Genomic DNA, 18886 nt, shown 5'->3' on the forward strand with positions numbered 1-18886 from the left:
GCCCAGGCTGGTCTCAAACTCCTGAGCTCAAGTGATCCTCCAGACTCAGTCTCCTACTGAGTAGCTGGGACTACAGACCTGATCCACCACACCCAGCTAGAATCAGCATTTCTTTTATGCACCAAACACATACTCCTGCTCTTTCTTTTTCTCGTTCTTTCTTATTGCCTGGACTATGGCATTAAACATACAAACAAACCAACTCCAAGCTACTTAGAGCTGAAGCAGCCTATTGTCTTGATTTTTAATGCAGAATTCACTAGAGAGTTGAGGTATAAGTAGCTCTATCACATGTAGTACCATGTTCCAAGACTGTTGGACTCTTGACAGGGTATTTTTCAAATTTGACAAAAATTGGACAGGTACCCCGCATGTCTTAGAAGCATCAAAAAGTAAATACACAACATGCTTTAAACAATCTTTCATTTGTTTTAATATATTTAGGATTGGGAGCAAGCAATCAATCAGAATGTCTACGTGTAGAAATTGGAAACATAAACATTGTGACCAACCATTGCATTCTAATAAGCTTGAATGCAAACAGAATAATTACATGGAAGCACTTTTCTACTCTATCTAGGTCCCCCTCCTACCTCAAAGAGTTCAGTAGGAGCCAGTTGTTCTAAGACCTCTAAGAGCAGAGCATGTTAATAACTGCCCCCTCTCCCTGGAGACTTGATTAAGACTAGGGGCTGCTTATGTGGGTATTCATTTCTCAGAGAGAGAGTGAGTACCTACTGCTAGCCAAGCATTGGGCTAGGTATTGCGTATATAATGGTGAGCAAAAACAGACGTGATGCTTGCTTTCTTGGAATTTGTGGTCTTATGTGTGAGGCAAACATTAATCAAATAATTCAAAAAACATTACAGAGTACACAATTATAAACGAAGATAAATATTCTGAAGGCAAGGAATACAGTTCTAAGGAGGTATATACTATAATGGGGAGTGAATTATGGCCTCCATGAAGCAATATCACTTAAGCTGAGATTTGAAGGGTCAGTAGGAGTTAAATGATCCATCAGAAAAGAACTGCTTTCCAAGTAGAAAGAACAGAATGTCCAAGGTGCTGTGGAGGACTAAAAGCAAGGCCAGGGTGGCTGGAGTACACAGAGCAAGGAAGTGATAGGAGGTGAGGCTAGAGAGTTTGACTCGGGTGTTTCTTAATGTGAGTGCCATTGGCTTTGGGGTGAGACAGTTTTCCATAGGGGTGGGGAGTGCTGGTTTGCATATGCAAGGTTGTAGGAGGTTTAGTGTCCTGGTCCCTGCACACTAAATGGTAATACTGCCCCCCTTGGTATTTATGACAACCAAAATGTCCCCAAACTTCCAAATACTCCCCAGTTAAGAACCACTGAATATGGGGGCATATAAGTCATTTAAGGATTTAGGGTTTTATTCTACAAGCAAGAGGGGAGCAATGAGAAAAAGTTTAAGCAGAGGGACAAAGTGATTCAATTTATATTCTGAAAAGATCATTCTGGCAACAGTGCAAAAATGGAGGGTTTCCCCAGAGATCCTCACTAAGAAGGTTGTTGTTAAAATGCAACGGCTACCTAGGCAATCTCTCACCAGTTACTAATAGTAAAGTTTTAATGCATTTGTAATAGCAACTATTTATTGAATGCTTAACATATGGCAGGTTTGTTCTTTACATACATTATTTTATGTTATTCCTCATAATTACCCTGCAAACTATGCATGACATCCTCATATTACAGATGAAGAAATGTAGCCTCAGGGAAGCTTAGTGATTTTGCAGTGCTATGCAGCAGAGAAGTGGTGGATCCACAAGTCCACCAGACCTGTTTGACCCCAGAGTCCATGTTGCACTTAATTAACCATAGAGTTATCTGTATGTTCTGTTGTTATATTATCAACAGAACATCTTAGTAGAGTATGGAGACCGGAGGGCATAAGAGTCTGGCTGGAACACAAGAATGCTTGCTGTGGAGCATTTTGAACAAGTAGTAACCAGTGTGAAAACCTTGAGTGCTTGGAAGTAGGAGGGTGGCAATTAGGAGGTAATGAAGTGAGATAGAAGAATGCTGAAGGCAATCCTGTTCTTCCCCAAAGTTTGCCAAGGGCAGATCCCACTAGAGTCATTTCTTCCTGGAACCACACTATCAATTTGCAAGAGGCCATTTGGAAACTTGAGGAGAGAGCAGCACAATGTGATCTTTTGCCCAGCAGCATCACTTGGGAATTTGTTAGCAGGTCAAATCTCAGGTCCATATTAGACCTTCTAAATCAGACACTCTGAGATGGATCCCAGCAAGTTGTATTTCAGCAAGCCCTCCAGGAAATTCTGAGGCACACTCACATTTGAAAACCACTGCTTTTGGAAAAGTAGTGGGGGTATTCTAAGTCAGGGAAACAGTGTGAGCAACATTTCAATGAGATTAATATAGGTGTTGTGTCTGTGGACTGGGAAAGAACCAGGTGTGGCTGGAGGGTAGAGTGCATGGGTAGGGGCGGCAAAAAATAAACAGGGTCATATTGGAGGTTTCTTGAACTTTACATTTCAAGTAATAAGTGACATAGGTTCAAGGGGGAGAACAACATGGACACCAGGAAATTGGTTAAGAAGCTACATTTCTCATATAGTCTTGTTCTCTGTCCTGGCCACACATTAGAATCACTTCAGGAGTTTGTCAATGTTACCAGCTTCATGTCATTGCTATCGTGAATTTTACTACAATGAACATCTGCGTGCATGTGTCTTTATGATAGAATGATTTCCATTTCTTTGGGTACGTACCCAGCAGTCATAAAAAAAGAATGCGATCATGTCCTTTGCAGGGACATGGATAGAGCTGGAAGCCATTATCCTTAGCAGACTGACACAGGAGCAGAAAACCAAATACCACATGTTTTCACTTATGAGTGGGAGCTAAATGATGAGAACACATGGACACATAGAGGGGAATAACACATACTGGGGCCTTCTGGAGGATGGAGGTGGGGAGGGAGAAGATCAGGAAAAATAATGGGTACTAGGCCTAATACCTGGGTGACGAAATAATCTGTATAACAAACCCCTGTGACACAAGTTTACCTGTGTCACAAACTTGCACATGTACCCCTGAAACTGAACCTAAAAGTAAAAAAAAAAAAAAAAAAATATCTTACCAACTCCAGGGTCCCTCTCCCAGACATTCAGATTTAATTAGTCTTACTGGTGGCCCAACATTGGTATGTTTCAGAAGTTCTGCAGGTGACTCTAAAGTGCAGCCGGAGTTGAGGATCCCTGTTCTAAGAGAAGTATAAAGCACATCTGTAAATGGATGGGAAGGAACTGGGAGTGACCCTGCTGGGAGCTGTTTTCCTCACCACAGCTGGGGTGTGGCAAAGGACCCATGCAAAAAGCTTAAGCTGGGGTCCTTAGTCTTTATATAGGGTGAGCCACTTCTGTGACTACTTTGTGAATTACTTCAGCAGCTCAGGATGAACCTTTGCTGCAAATTTGAAATTGACCTGATATGATAGAGGGAACTGTCCCGGAGCTGTTTCATGCAGATGCCTGGACAAATCTCATCCAAAATCTCTATGTATCCCCCAAGGCCGACCATGGGTTCCCAGGAGAATGGACAGATCTTGGCAGGGGGAAGGTGGCGGCGGGGGGCAGGGGTTGGTCAAAGCCTGAACGTCAGTTCCCAGAGCTGCTTCCCTCTGAAACCCAGTTGGCAAATGTGCTGCTTCCTCTCCATGTCTGCCTCTGCAGCTTCTGCTGGCCCATCAAGTTGCTCCCACACTAGCAGAGAGCAAAAAGAGGGAGGTGGTGAACACAGCTCAACAACATGCAAATTATAATCATCTCCATCCAGAGGATGGTGGTTGAGAGGTACATGAAAGGGAAGTAGAGGGCCATGGCAGGTCACTGTGAGTTACCTGAAATCCAGCCAGCAATATGGCCAATTAGATAGGCATTAGGCATAGTGACTTTTAGAACTACTCAGCTTTGTAACAATTACAACAAATAATATTAGTAACTAATACTTATTTAGTGTTTACTAAGGGCCGGCCAGATACTATGCTTAGAGACTTATTTCTATTGATTATATCATTTAATTCTTATATTGACCTTATGAGATAGGCACTGTTGGTATCTCTTTTTTACAGATGAGGAAACTGAGGTTCAGAGAGGCTACGGAATTTGCCCAAAGTCATACAGCTAACAAGTGTAGAACCAGGCCCCTCAACTGGGTCTGACTCCACAGTCAGACTCCACAGCTGTTAATCATTCTGCTGAAGTTGTTAATAGTAAAACCATCCTCCATTCTGGAATGAGTAGAATTTATATGGGATGTATGGGAAATTAGATGGAGGCCAGGTAACAGAGGGCCTTGAAGACCAGGCTGCGAGGTTTGGGTTTGATTCTGGAGGCATCGGAGAGCCATTAGATGCATTATTATTGGCATTAGCAAACAAACTCTGGCAATAAACACTATGTGTAAGATGGGTCCAGATGGGGAGAAACAGGCAGGAGTGGCTACATAATTTGCAGGGCCCAGTGCAAAATGAAATTGCAGGGCTCCTTGTTAAAGAAAAAAAAATTAGGACTTTCAAGGTGGTAACAGCAGAGCATTAAACCAAGTGTGAGTACCTATGAGCCTGCTCAGATAGCATGACTATGAAGCTAGTCCTGAAGATAGGAAGGCAGTCAAGAAGGTATCCAGTATAGGGAGGTGGGGTGGAGTGGGGGTGGAGTGGCATAGATAAGGTCTAGGACTGGGGTGGTGGTGGTGAGGCTAGGAATAATAGGATGGAAAAGTAGAATCAATAGGTTTTGATGAACATTCCTCTCTCACCTCCCAACTTCAGTGAAAACTCTGAGATTGAGTCTGGATGACTGAATGGAAGGACTGGAAGGGGAGCTAATCTGAAGGAGAAATTGATAAATTTGCTTTGGAAACCTACTCAGTTCCATCTGCATACTTGGTGTTTAGATGAGTATGGATGTTACTATTTCACATGGGATACTGTCCCTTAAGTGACATGGTCTCTTGCTTTGCCATGAAACTATGTTTTGTTTCCTCCCTGTGAGAAGAGAGATTTAAGAGATTTTTTTAGTTTGTTTCAGGGAGCCAGAGCCAGGACAAGTAAGCTTTCCTTCAATATGCTTTCTTTGGACTATAAAGGGAGTTCCTACATGGGCTTCAGTTACAGAGCACACAGCAATCAATTCTCCCTCCCTCCACACCTAAGGGTTTGTGCAGATCCTGAAGATCATTCCAGGTACACTGTGGTAGGCCGGCATAACAGAGTCATTCATTACCTTGACTTCTAGTCTCCCCTATATTCTCAGCACTTCCTTGGCCCTGTTCTTTCTAATCTGCCCCTTAGGACACAGAGGTACTCTAGGAGCCTTTAAATGGCTCCAAAGCAGATGCCCTTGCTCTCCATCCAGGTCACTCTGATAAAGGGACTGACTGGACCCAGAAGAATAAGAGAGGTTTCAGTCCCAGCACAGCCTGGCAAGTCTGCTTGTTGACCAGTGGTAGGGTAGTTCCATATTAAAGGACCAGAATGGCGGAGTTTACCAATTATGGGCTAACCATATGGGTGGTAGGGGGAGTTAAGGGGAGAGGAATTTCATCACATAGCCACCGTACATCCTGCTGGCCATTCCCTGTTTGTCTCCTGTCTTGTAAAGTGTCCAGCTATACTCTAAATAGCACCCTACAAAGAAAGTAGCCCTCCACTATATCCAAGGTGAAACCCACCAAACACATGCTCATAGATTAGTTCCTCTCATAAGAAGAGCCTGGCTTGGACATAAGTGAGGAGATTAGTGCCTTGGTGGATGATGTGAGTGGCCTTGGCCAACTTCCTCCTTGATCCCCAAGCTGCTGGGTCCTTGATGAGAGATAAAAGACCAATAGAGCCTCATGCAGAAATCACCTCCTTTTGTATGAACCTTATTGTATTTTAGAAATAGAGAAGGTGATGGCTGGGCGCGGTGGCTCATGCCTGTAATCCCAGCACTTTGGGAGGCCAAGGCAGGTGGATCACGAGGTCAGGAGATCGAGACCATCCTGGCTAACACAGTGAAACCCCATCTCTACTAAAAATACAAAAGAAAAAAAAAATTAGCCAGGTGCGGTGGTGGGTGCCTGTAGTCCCAGCTACTTGGGAGGCTGAGGCAGGAGAATGGTGTGAACCCGGGAGGTGGAGCTTGCAGTGAGCCAAGATTACGCCACTGCACTCCAGCCTGGGTGACAAAGCAAGACTCTGTCTCAAAAAAAAAAAAAAAATATAGAGAGAAGGTGACTTTTGAGACAGAGGAGAGAAAGACCCCAATTTTCCACTTTGTAGCTGTGTGACCTCTGGCCTGCTATTTTTCAGAGCATCAGTTTTTCTAGGCATAATAATAACTACGTAATAACATAATTGTGAAGAGTAAATGAGTTCATACATGTAAAACACTAATAACAGTGCCTGGCACATATCAAATGTTTGATAAATGAAAGATTAATCATAATCTTAATCATATTGAGAGAAGCTGAGTCGTTAGAGTGTGTGGGCTGTGCAACCACAACCAGCTGGGAATCTGGGTTGTAACCGTCTGAGAGGATCTGCCTGTCACTGCCACAGTCAATAACCCTGGCTTATCCAGACCATGTGAGGGTTTTCTTGTGCCTTCTGACCTGGATGCTTTAATGTTGCTTTGTTTTCTCAAATGCTGCCCTAGCGTGGGGGAGCTAGGGACAGGCTTCACTGAGGACTGTATCTTTGACACAGCCAAGAAGAGGACAAGTGTGAGTTTGGACACTTGCCTAACCACGGGCCTTCTTTATTAACCTGGGATCCTCTGCCACTGCAGAAGAGAACCTAGCTGCCATGTGTCACGTTTGAGTTGGGTGTAGTTTATGAATCGAGATTGCGGGGGCCAAACCGGGAAGGAGTAAAGTCTGTTTTCAGTGTAGTCTTATTTCCTCCTGTAGGGTCTTGCTGCTGAGGCACCCAATATTTTCATAAAATCCCTTAGGCTGCTTCGGGTATCTTCATCATGATCATCCTCAGGCCTTTCTCTCCTAGGCAGCTTTGACAGCCATAGACCTTTCTTAAACTCTCTTCCTCATCTTCACAACTTGCCTCTTCAGGGACCCAGATTCTCAGAAGTCTGCCTGACTTTGAATGTGATAACATGCTTTGGGTCTGGGTGTTAATGACCAATGATAACTGTACTGTTCCTGCCAAGTTTTATTCATAATTAAGTGAGGACCTTGGATGCCTCAGAAGAGGGAGCACAGCATGAACTCTGACGCATAAAGGCAAGGGAAAACCATTTTAGAGCAGAAGTCTTTAGTGCCTCTCAATTCAAGACCTGGTGAAAGTGGCTGCATCTGTGGGTAGAGCCTCTGCCCTTCCCTCTGCCTCTACCTATCCCTTAAAAACACTGCATGTTCTCACTCATAGGTGGGAATCGAACAATGAGAACACTTGGACACAGGAAGGGGAGCATCACACACCGGGGCCTGTTGTGGGGTGGGTGGAGCAGGGAGGGATAGCATTAGGAGATATACCTAATGTAAACGACGAGTTAATGGGTGCAGCACACCAACATGGCACATGTATACATATGTAACAAACCTGCACGTTGTGCACATGTACCCTAGAACTTAAAGTATAATAAAAAAAATCGTACTTCAAGAGGTAGGATACTCTAGTAGTTTAGAGAACAAACTCTGGAGCTAGGGTCAAGAAAAACCCTACATACAGATTATCAGGAAGAAATGCAATAGTGAAAAGAGCTAGGGCAACGGAAAGAGGAAAGACCCAGATTTAAATCCCTGCTCCACAGTAGCTGTGTGAACTTAGACATGCCATTTAGCATCTCTAAGCCACAGATTCATCTGTGAAGGGGAGATAATTACAGCTTTCCCACTTACCAGCTCAAATCGTAGCCTGGTCAAATCCTAGCTCTCCCACTTAGCAGCTCTGTGACCTTGGGCAAGTTACTTCATCTTTCTCTGCCTCAGACTTCTCATCTGTAAAATGGGCTTAATAACTGTACGTACAGCCATGCATTTCTTAATGACAGGGATATGTTCTGAGAAATGTCTCCTTAAGAAATTTTTTCATTGTGTGAACATCATAGTGTGTACTCATAGAAACCTAGAGGGTATAGCCTACTAGGAACCTAGGCTATGTGTTATGGTCTATTGCTCCTAGGCTACAAACCTGTACAGTATGTTACTGTACTGAATATTGTAGGCGATTGTAACACAATGGGAAGTATTTGTGTATCTAACACACAATATCATTTATACACAATATAATTTATATATAATAAAAATGATAAATGATATAAATGATAAAAAATGGTATGTCTGTATAAGGCAGCTCCATTATAGTCTTATGTGACCAACGCCATATATGTGGTCTATCCTTGACTGAAATTTCATTATGCAGCATGTGACTGTACTTCTCAGGGTTCTTATGAGGATAATAAATGAGTTGATATGTGTGTAGTGGCTAGACTAGTGCCTGGCACATGGAAACTGTTACATAATTGTTTGTTAAGTAAATGTGAAACCGAGGATGTATGGCAGCCAAACTTCCTGCCTGTGAGAGGGCCAGCCAGAAAACTACCCACTTCCCTCAGGGGAGAGCATGAGCAGTGTCCAGGCTGGAAACTGTGTGGTTTTAATCCTCTGCAGAAGGGACATGCTACCCTCCCCCATTTGACAAGGGTAAAATACAGGCTATGTCTGAGCAGGCTGTGTAGGGGGAAAAAAGGATCAGCTAGACACCATGTACATGGTAGACTGGTTCATCAACTGGGATGGGGCTGTCTTTGAGCAACCTCTGGCTAAGAAAGTGCCCCCCAATTTCTCCTTATATGTAGTGGACCTTATTAATCTCTTTGCCTGGTTTTGTTGCTTCCAGGAGGAAAGGACCTAAACTGACAGTGCCTGAACAAGTCAGAATGTATCTAATCTGGCGTGTGTGAAACCTAGCAGCCATCCAAGAAAGCGCAAGTAAGTAGGGTTCTGCGGGATATGCATATATTTTTATAATAAAAAGGTTACAGGCATCATAATGACTGTGACTTGGAAAGAGTCATTTGCTGCCTCTTATCAGCTGAGACTGGCCCTATGAAACAGCCTGTTCCCGTTGGAGGCTCCCGGGATCTCAAGGAGTAAATCCAGTTATTCATCTCAACCTTGCTTTGGCTGTGCTGAATTCCTTTGCCTGGAACTGGGAGGCTCCCCAGTGGGGGGCTTTGGCATGCTAGGGCTTCTGCAGCAGGGGCTCAGTGTTCCACTGCCCTCATATCCATGACTGAGAAAGAAAAGAGTGGGGTCAGGTGGGTGGCTAAAAGGTGGCTATTTTGATATCAAAATAGTGGTGAGTCCGTTCATTCACTAAGCCAAAATAGAGCATTTGCTACCTCTAGGGTCACCAGCTGCCTCCCTGCACTGCACATTTTGCTTTACAGTACCCTGGAGGGATATGTTCCAAGACCCCAGTGGATGCCTGAAACTGCAGATAGTATCAAACTTCATGTATACAGCATTATGTTTTTTCCTATACATATATACGTATGACAAAGCTTATAAATTAGGGACAGTAAGAGGTTAACAACAGTAATCAAAAATAAAATGGAACAATTATTACACATACTGTCATGAAAGTTATGTAAATGTTCTCTCAAAATATCTTACTGTACTCACGTATTTTCAGACTTCCATTAACTACAGCTAACTGTAACCACAGAAAGAGAAACCATGGATAACGGGGTCTACTGTATATTCAACTTAGGACTTGGGTAGACATTTGGGGATTGATATTGTTTTCCTGGGCATCAATCATTTCCTGACAGGATCAGACTTTATATAAAATAAGGGACAGCCTCCTATCTTAGGTTGAACCACATAACATTGGTGGGTTTGTCGGTAAAATGGTCAAATACTGCAGTTCGGTGTGATTCCACCTACCATTTCTTGGCTATGCCTCACAATATCCTGTACAGAGTAGGCAGCAGGTTCTTGTCAAGTCTCTTTTTTTTTCTTTTCTTTTCTTTTTCTTTTTCTTTTTTTTGATGAAGTTGCAGGCAGCCAGGATCTCACAATTCTCTTTGCTTTCACATGCAAAGGCAATTCAGAATAATAACATCATCTCTAATTGATGGAGCATTTCAGCTTGGTGGGATGGGGGTGTGTCTTTACTGGGCTCTTATGTAGTCCATTGTTCTACTTAATGCTCAGAACAGCCTTATGAGGCAGGTGTTATTATCTCCTCTTCACAGATGAGTCTGTGGCTTAGAGATGCTAAATGGCATGTCTGAGTTCACACAGTTACTGTGGAGCAGGGATTTGAATCTGGGTCTGGCCTCTTTCCATCGCCCTAGCTCTTTTCACTATTTGCATTTCTTCCTGTTAATCTGTATGTAGGGTTTTTCTTGACCCTTTGCTAATACTTTTCACCTTCAAAAGTTTAAAGGTTATTGAGGGGTTCCTCCAGTTCTACGATCCTAATGAACACAAGCAGCTTGCCCCAGTTATTTGTGCATAATGTTTCCCAGCTACTCCAAACAACTTCCTACCATGAGGAAATACTCCTGTGTACTACTCAGACAATTGAAAGCTCTAGTTATTAAGCCACTTCCTTTGGTGTTAAATAGCAGTATTTTGCCGGGTGCTGGAAATTGATCCTGTATATAAAATGTATCTTGAGGCTTCAGTACATTTTGTATTTATATAGCCCTATCTTTATAGAAATTGGATCACTAAACTGTCTCAAGATCATAGTGTAGATTTTGTTGTTGTTGTTGTTGTTATTTATTTATTTATTTACTTTGGAGACAGAGTCTCACTCTATCACACAGGCTGGAGTGCAGTGGTGCTCTCTCAGCTCACTGCAACCTCCGCTTCCCAGGTTCAAGCAATTCTCCTGCCTCAGCCTCCCAAGTAGCTGGGACTATAGGCGTGCGCCACCATGCCCAGCTAATTTTTGTATTTTTAGTAGAGACGGGGTTTCACCGTGTTGGCCAGGCTGGTCTTGAACTCCTGACCTCAGGTGATCTGCCTGCCTCGGCCTCTCATAGTGGCTAGGATTACAGGCCTGAGCCACCGTGCCTGGCTCATTTTGAAACAGAACAGTTTAGATGTCAACAGAGCCTATAGAGATCATGTAATCAGAATCTCCCTCCCTCATCTTATAGCTGAGAAAACTGAGGCTAAAATGGGAAGTGCCTTGCTCAAGATCAGAGAGCTAGTTCAAAGGCAGAGGCAGGGCCCAAACTGAGATATGTCTGACTCCTGCTTCCTTCATTGTATCCTGTCTCCTTCAGCACTATCATCCTTACAGGTATTTAGCTACCAAATCTTTACTGAACACCTGCCATGTGCTAGATTTTGACTCAGAGTTGTTAGGTAATCTTTGTAGGGTCACACTACAAGCACATTATATGATTTGGAGCCTCAGTCTCTAGTATTTCCTGCCAGCCACATTGCCAGTCCTCCCTGCAGCCTTGCATCTCTTAGTTTTCCAGTACAATTCAGAGAAGGGCATCGTTGGGGTATAGATAGGCAGGATCCTCAGTGAATACTTGCTGATGTGAAAAAAATTTTAAAAATGACTCCTCCCTTGAGGATCAGTTGAACAAACTCAGTAAACTGTGGTTCTAAAACCGGTTCTCAAGCATGCATCAGGGTTGCCTGAGAGAATGTTAAAACACAGATTGCAAGGCCCCAAGCTTGGAGCATCTCATTCAGTAGAAGTGGGATGGGGATGGGGAATTTGCATTTCTAACAAGTTCCCAGGTGCTGCTGGTGCTGCTGGTCCAGGGACCATACATTGAGAACCACTGTTTTAGTCTATAAAATGGGTGTAATACTTAACCTCGTTCCTCTTTAAGGTTGCCTGAGCCAGCTCAAAGTTTTCAGTGAGAATGGTTTGGGAGATAGTACCTCAGTTTTCTCCATCATTTTGAATGTGCAGAAATAGCTTCCAGATTGTATCTGACATTATGCCTTTTCATAGTATTCTAGAATAAATTTTGAAAAAATATTAGGTCATTTAGTCCAGCCTTCTGCATCTAAACTGGGATCTACCTAACTCATCCCAAATATATGCTTGGCTCTTTACAGTTTTTTGTTCGTTTATTCCTTGAGTGGTTATAATGAGAAGCTTCTCTGCATGTGCTCCTGTGAACTAATCATCTCCTTATTCTAATTCCTTCCCTTGGATGCTCAACAGCGATTGCTGCCAGCAAATCTATCTGTTCAAGGATGTGTGGATATAGTGCCTAGCATAGTGCTTGGTGCATAGCAGACATTCAGTGCATGTTAGCTGCCTTTCCTTCCCCTTCTCAAACTGGTAATACCTCCTGATTTCTCATGAGCCATCCTAGCACTCCCCTGATCCAAAACAGGGCATGGACCAGGTTATAACTGAAAAGGTAAAAGATCTCCAGATGACATCCTCCCCTATATTTCTAAAAATAGTGGCTCTCAGTCCTGGTTGCACATTAGAATTACCTGGGTAGCTTTGAAAAAATACTAATGCCTAGGCCCCATACCAGACCAACAAAGTCAGAGTTTCTAGGAGTAAGACCTGGGCATCAGTATTTTTAGAGCTCTCCAGATGATTCTAGTATGCATCCAATGTTGAAAACCACTGTTAAAAATAAAGCCGCTTTTCCCTCTACTCTGCCTTCTTGCCATTTTTTTTTTTTTTTTTGACATAGTCTCAGAGTCTGGCTCTGTTGCCCAGGCAGGAATGCAATGGCATGATCTTGGCTAACTGCAGCCTCCCCTTCCCAGGTTCAACTGATTCTCCTGCCTCAGCCTCCTGAATAGCTGGGATTACAGGTGCCTGCCACCACACCTGGCTAATTTTTTGTATTTTTAGGAGAGACAGGGGTCTTCTTGCCTTTTAAACACAGGTTCTCTAACTCTAGATTCGGTGGTCCTGAAATTTTAGCGTGCTTCAGAGCCACCTGAATCATGCAGATTTTCCCCCTCTCAGAGTTTCTGATTCAGTAGGGCTGGTGTGGGGCCAAAGAATCTGGATTTTTTTTTTTCTTTGGTAGAGATGAGGCCTTGCTTTCTTACCTAGGCTGGTTTCAAACTCCTGGCCTCAAGTTATCTTCCCACCTTGGCCTCTCAAAACGTTGGGATTACAGGTGTGGGCCACCATGTTTGGCCAGAATTTAGAGTTCTAGGTTTCCAGGTGGTGTGAATGTTGCTGGTTCAGGGATTACACTTTGTAAACCACTGTTGGAAGGGGCACAATTCGCGTCATCCGGTGCCCCTTAAAAGACAATTTAGATGGCTGATTTTTTTAGACCTCAATCTCCATGACAATTTTCAAGCACTATAAGGGTTTGCACACCCACACAGCTGTGTTGGGTAGAGCTGTATCAAAGTTACCAAGTATCCATTTGCGAAGACAGATGAAATACAAATGGTGTGCATTAGAGGAACTAAGCAAATGTTCTCCTGGGTAATAGGAGGAGGCCAGTAGCTGAAGAAAGAGTTAAATAATTAGGATGTTTATCCTGATTCAGTGTCTGTAGAGCTTGGGCGTCTTTGCCTCCATCTCCCCCTGCCATGGTTAGAACTGTCTTCTAGTATTTAAAGAGAGTTGTTGTTAAAGCACAATGGCAAATTAGATATCACAGGCAGCAAGAAATCAGAACAAAACAAAGCCACCCTTAATCCAGGGCAGCAGACCAGGAAAAAAAATCTTTGGGGTTGTTTTTGAATATTGCAGTTAGCTTTAAGTAACAATGCCCAGTGCTTGCAAGTTTAATTATTCTCTACAAAGATGGGGGTGGGGAACAACTAGACAGAGATGATGAGGTTGGGAGGAAATTGGTTAGTGATTCTGTTTGCTTAGAATGACCGGCAAGGCGGCTCCTGCATTTGCCATCCATCACCTCTTCTCTAGAGGATCAAAGGCAAGAACAGAGGCAATAAATGGGCCCAGTAGCCCTGAGACACCAATTACATTACAATGTACAGAGAAGCACCTCTGGAAGGTTGGAGTGTGTGTGTGTGTGTGTGTGTGTGTGTATCTCAAGGAGAGACTGGCCCAACAATATCAACTTTAATAGCAATTCAGTCTTTCTTACCTGTGTTTCTCTTATATAGTCCAAGGTAAGGATGAGCTGGCATAAATCCTGGCCCAGACAGGGGTGCTCAGAAAGCATAGTTGGCAGGTCAGTCCTGATACCCTTTCTCTTCCTGGTCCCACATCCTAGTACTTTAAGACCATCTTCTCATCTCTCTTTCCTCAGAATGACCACCAGCTCACCCTCCTGAGGGCTCGGTCGAACTTGACCATGTATTTCCCAGAGCCTTAGCTTTTGCTCTGTGTGTACTTGTGCATGCACCCATGTGTGCATGTGTGTGTAGAGGGAGGTGAAGCACAATAACTTAATGTAAACTATCCAAATTTAGACTCCTTGGGTTTGAATCCCAACTGTACCTCCTATTTGCTGCATTACTTTGATGAAATCACTTCACTACTCTAAGCCTCAGTTTTTGCCTGTAAACAAAAGATAATGAAGCAGCCTGATATAGAGGGCTCTTGTGAGGGTTAAAAGAGGTAATCCGTGTAAAGCACTTAGCTTGGCACATTTTAAGTACTTAATACGTGGCAGTTGTTGTTTATCATTATTACTCCTTTTTAAAAAATTTTATTTATTTGTTTTTTTGAGACAGAGTCTTGCCCTGTCTCCAGGCTGCAGTGCAGTGGTGCAATCTCGGCTCACTGCAACCTCTGCCTCCCGGGTTCAAGCAATTCTCCTGCCTCAGCCTCCCGAGTAGCTGGGACTACAGGCGTGTGCCACCACACCCAGATAATTTTTTGTATTTTTAGTAGAGACGGGATTTCACCATGTTGGCCAGGATGGTCTTGATCTCTTGACCTCGTGATCCGCCCGCCTTGGCCTTCCAAAGTGCTGGGATTACAGGTGTGAGCCACCGCGCCCAGCCACGATTATTACTACTTTTACAGAGGAAGAGAGAAACTTCTGGGGCAGGTAGAGAAGCCCAGAGTGGTGGCAATACAAACTAAATGTCTGAGGCACTGCAAAACTATTTTCGGCCCCAGTGATAGCCTTTTCCTTGGGTGATTGCCACTAATAATGTGGCAGAATTAAGCCTACTATTTTACGGGATATGAGAGGTTAGATATTCTTGGGAGGAGAGGTTTAGAGAATAAAATTTCCAAGCAGAGAAAGGAATATACTTATGAGGGACCTAATGTAGAAAGAAGCAGAGCTGACAGAGTATCTCAGCAGGAAGTGAGGTGTTGGGCCTTGGACCTTGGGGCGCTGGGCCTTTCTTCTTCCTTCCCCATCCACACACCAGCAGCGTCTGAAATACTTGTGTTTTTCTGCAAATGTTCTGCTTTCTTTCCTCTAGCCTTTGGGCACATTCATCTTCTTGCACTGCTGGTCCTTTGCTTATGCTATTTCCTTCTTCTAGAACACCGTTTTACCTGCCATTCATCTGGTTAACACTTATTAAACTAGTACAGTAGCTATGAGCCACATGTGGCTATTGAGCACTTAAAGTGTGGCTAGTATGAAGTGAGATACATAGTAAGTATAAAATACAGACCAGATTTTGAAGACTTAGTACAATAAAAAAGAATGCCTAATATCTCATTGATAATTTTGTATACTGATTACATGTTGAATGATATTTTGGATACAGTGGGTTAAATAAATTACATTGAAATAATTTCACTTGGTTTTTATTGACATCTTTGAAGGTAATAAATGCAAATGGCAAAACCACAATTACTTTTGCACCAACCTAATACAAATGTGGCTTGTATTATATTTCTACTGGACCACACTGCACTAGACTGTCAGCTCCATGAGGGCAGAAACCTTTTCTGTCTTGCCCATCATGGTGTCCCTGCTATCTGACATAGTGCTAGCTAAATATTTCTAAATAATTGAATAAAGGAATTGATATTATATCTAGGTTTGTATTGAACGCTGAAACTTTGGCTAAAAGGTTCATGGAATCATTTTGGATTTATTTTTCCATTCCTCTGGGTGACTGAGTATTTAACTCATATTACTATATTTCATGTCTTTAGTTTCACTAATGACAGGAAGTTGTGGCTGTGGCTACGTCATGTAATGTTGTTCCATTTACAAATATATTATCTGTAAATCTTTCTCATGTCTTTTCAGAGAAGAGATGTGAAGAAGAATAAATAATTCCCAAGCTAAGGGAAATTTAAAGCAAGAAAAGTGGGGAAGCCAAGAGAAGCCAGGCCTTGATGGTTAAAAGGACCTATATTAGTTTTTTATTGCGGCATAAAAATTAGTAAAACTTAAAGGTTTAAAATAGCATAAACGTATTAATTCACAGTTTCTGTGCGTGAGAAGTCTGGGTACAGCATGCTTTGATTTTCTGCTCATAGTCTCACTGAACTGAAATCAAGGTGTCTGGCAGGGGCTGAATTTCTCATCTGGGTTCAAGGCCTCTTCTCATTTCATTCGATTTGTTGGCAGAATTTGGTTTTCTTCTAGCTGTTGGCTGGCGACCTCTCAGCTCCTAGAAGCTTCCCACAGTATCTTGCCATGTGGCTCCCAAAGGCAGTTCACAAGATAAATGTTTGCTTTCTTCCAAGTCAGCTGGATCCTGTCTCTCTGACTTCCTCTCTCACCAGCCAGATAAAACTCTGCTTTTAAAGCGCTTATGCAACTGTTTAGTCCCATCTAGATAATCATACCATCTTAAGGTCCTGATTTGGGACCTTAATTACATCTGCAAATACCTTCATAGCAGTATCTAGATTGGTGTTGGATTGAATAACTGGGAGAAGGTGTATATACACCAGCGACTGAGAATATTGGCAGGCCATCTTAGAATTCCACCTATCACAGAAATTCTGACAAGGGCCTCCATCATTTCAGTGAGAAATAAATTATGAGAAGAAACTTTGAGTCTACAGAAGGAGGCAATTCTTTCGAAGCTAGAGAAAGCCTATTGAGGAAGTAGCCACAGGAACTGTGAAGGGGCATTTGAATTAAGGCAATGCCAGCACTGGAATGCATGGCATGTTAAATATAATATAAAATAACTCCCCCGGTTTTCCTTTTTTTTTTTTTGGGATGGAATCTCGCTCTGTCGCCCAGGCTGGAGTGCAGTGGCGCGATCTCGGCTCACTGCAAGCTCCGCCTCGCGGGTTCACGCCATTCTCCTGCCTCAGCCTCCCGACTAGCCAGGACTACAGGCGCCCACCACCACACCCGGCTAATTTTTTGTATATTTAGTAGAGATGGGATTTCACCGTGTTAGCCAGGACGGTCTCCATCTCCTGACCCCGTGATCCGCCCACCTTGGCCTCCCAAAGTGCTGGGATTACAGGCGTGAGCCACCGTGCCTGGCCAATAACTCCGCCATTTTTCAGATGAGGAAATGGAGGCCTAGCAAGTGGAAGCCTTCTGGTAGTGATCATTGGCAGCCATCTCATGTTATTTTTTTTTCTTTCTAGAATCTATTGACTGTTGGAAGGGCTGGAAAATGGAGCATTTGAGATCTGATGAGCTTAAAATCTCTCATCAAACTAACTTTCTCATCTTCTCCATGACTACCTGCATTCTGAAATAACTTAAAGCCTAAAAACACTTTTATTCTTCAAGTTTTAGAAAAAGAAAACTACTTTGTATATAACATTGGATTCATCCTCGCATTCGTATCTAACATTGAATATACTAGGTTTTTCTCTTTTGAGACAGGGTCTCACTATGTTGCCCAAGCTGGTCTTGAACTCCTGGGCTCAAGCAATCCTCCTGCCTTGGCCTCCTAAACTGCTGGGATTACAAGTGTGAGCCACCATGCCCAGCAATGCTAGTTGTTAAATCATGAATTGTGCTGAATCTTCCATTTTTCAGATGTATATTTTTATTTAAACCAATTGTTTAAGAGGTGAGTAACTTGGGCAAAGACACAGCTCTATTTCTCTTTCAGGACCAAGTAGTGATGGAATTATTTGAGAACAGTCTTTTAAGGACAGGGACTCAGAGGTTCTGGGTCTTTGAAGGCGAGTAATCATAACAGCTTAGGATGGAAATTACCTTTGAGCTTCAAAGTTCTCTGATTAGACCATTAAAAAGGATCTGATGAGGAACACAGAAGGAAATGTAATATCCTAGGGTCTTGAAGGAACCTTACCTGAGTGACATTCTTAGGCCTGAATGTAAAAAACACACACAGTTTGTTTCTCCAGTGTTGACAGTACATTATCAATGTGATGAGATGAGCAAGTATTATTTTTGCAGAGGCAGAAAAAATAATGAAATCTAAAAATAATGAAATCTCTGGGGTGTGACCGTCAATGATCATATCTGACTCTGTCAAAGACTGAATTTAAAGGTATGGCTGCCTCCTATATTTCTTACCTTTGCAGGGGCCTGATTCAGATCCCTGTCAAATCAGCTTAGGTTATTTATTGAAAATCTTTTCTTTTCATTGTTCATTTTTCCAAGGATTCAGACACTGGGGATAATTTTTCTACTACAAAATAATCAATAATCTGACTGCAGCTGACTTTTCCCACTCATGACAGCAGTCAATTTTCAACTCTTCTGGGGATATTTATCTAGTTGCCTGATGCTTCAGGCCACTTGATAACTTCCATTTGCTACTGGACTTTAGGGTCTTTATCTTCCTCGTTACCACCTCCATCACAGGGCCACAGGAGAATGGAAGAAACTGGCAGAAAATCAGTTTGCTTTCTGGTTGTTAGAAGCTTTGTGGAAAGGTCCTGTGGGAGCTGGGGTAGAAACAAACAGTTGATTCCACTGAGCCATGAAGAATTATTTATCACCTATAGCTTTTTCTCTTTTTTTTCTGTCTTCCCCATCCTTACATATAATTGAGAACAGACTTCGTGGTCC

General features: G+C 42.8%; 1 protein-coding gene across 3 annotated transcripts in view; it reads right to left on the reverse strand.

Moving 5' to 3' along the window:
- Positions 1-18886, reverse strand: part of TRPC5 (transient receptor potential cation channel subfamily C member 5) — a 314766-nt gene that overhangs the window by 234348 nt on the left and 61532 nt on the right. The window contains exon 2 of one of the 3 annotated variants that reach the window (XM_017029774.2): positions 3133-3255. The exons of the other annotated variants lie outside the window; for them this stretch is intronic. The gene's annotated coding sequence lies outside the window, so the exon portion shown is untranslated. The remainder of the gene's footprint in view (positions 1-3132; positions 3256-18886) is intronic. 3 annotated transcript variants of the gene reach the window in all.

This window comes from Homo sapiens, chromosome X, assembly GCF_000001405.40.
Source record: "Homo sapiens chromosome X, GRCh38.p14 Primary Assembly".
Classification (NCBI taxonomy): Eukaryota; Metazoa; Chordata; class Mammalia; order Primates; family Hominidae; genus Homo; species Homo sapiens.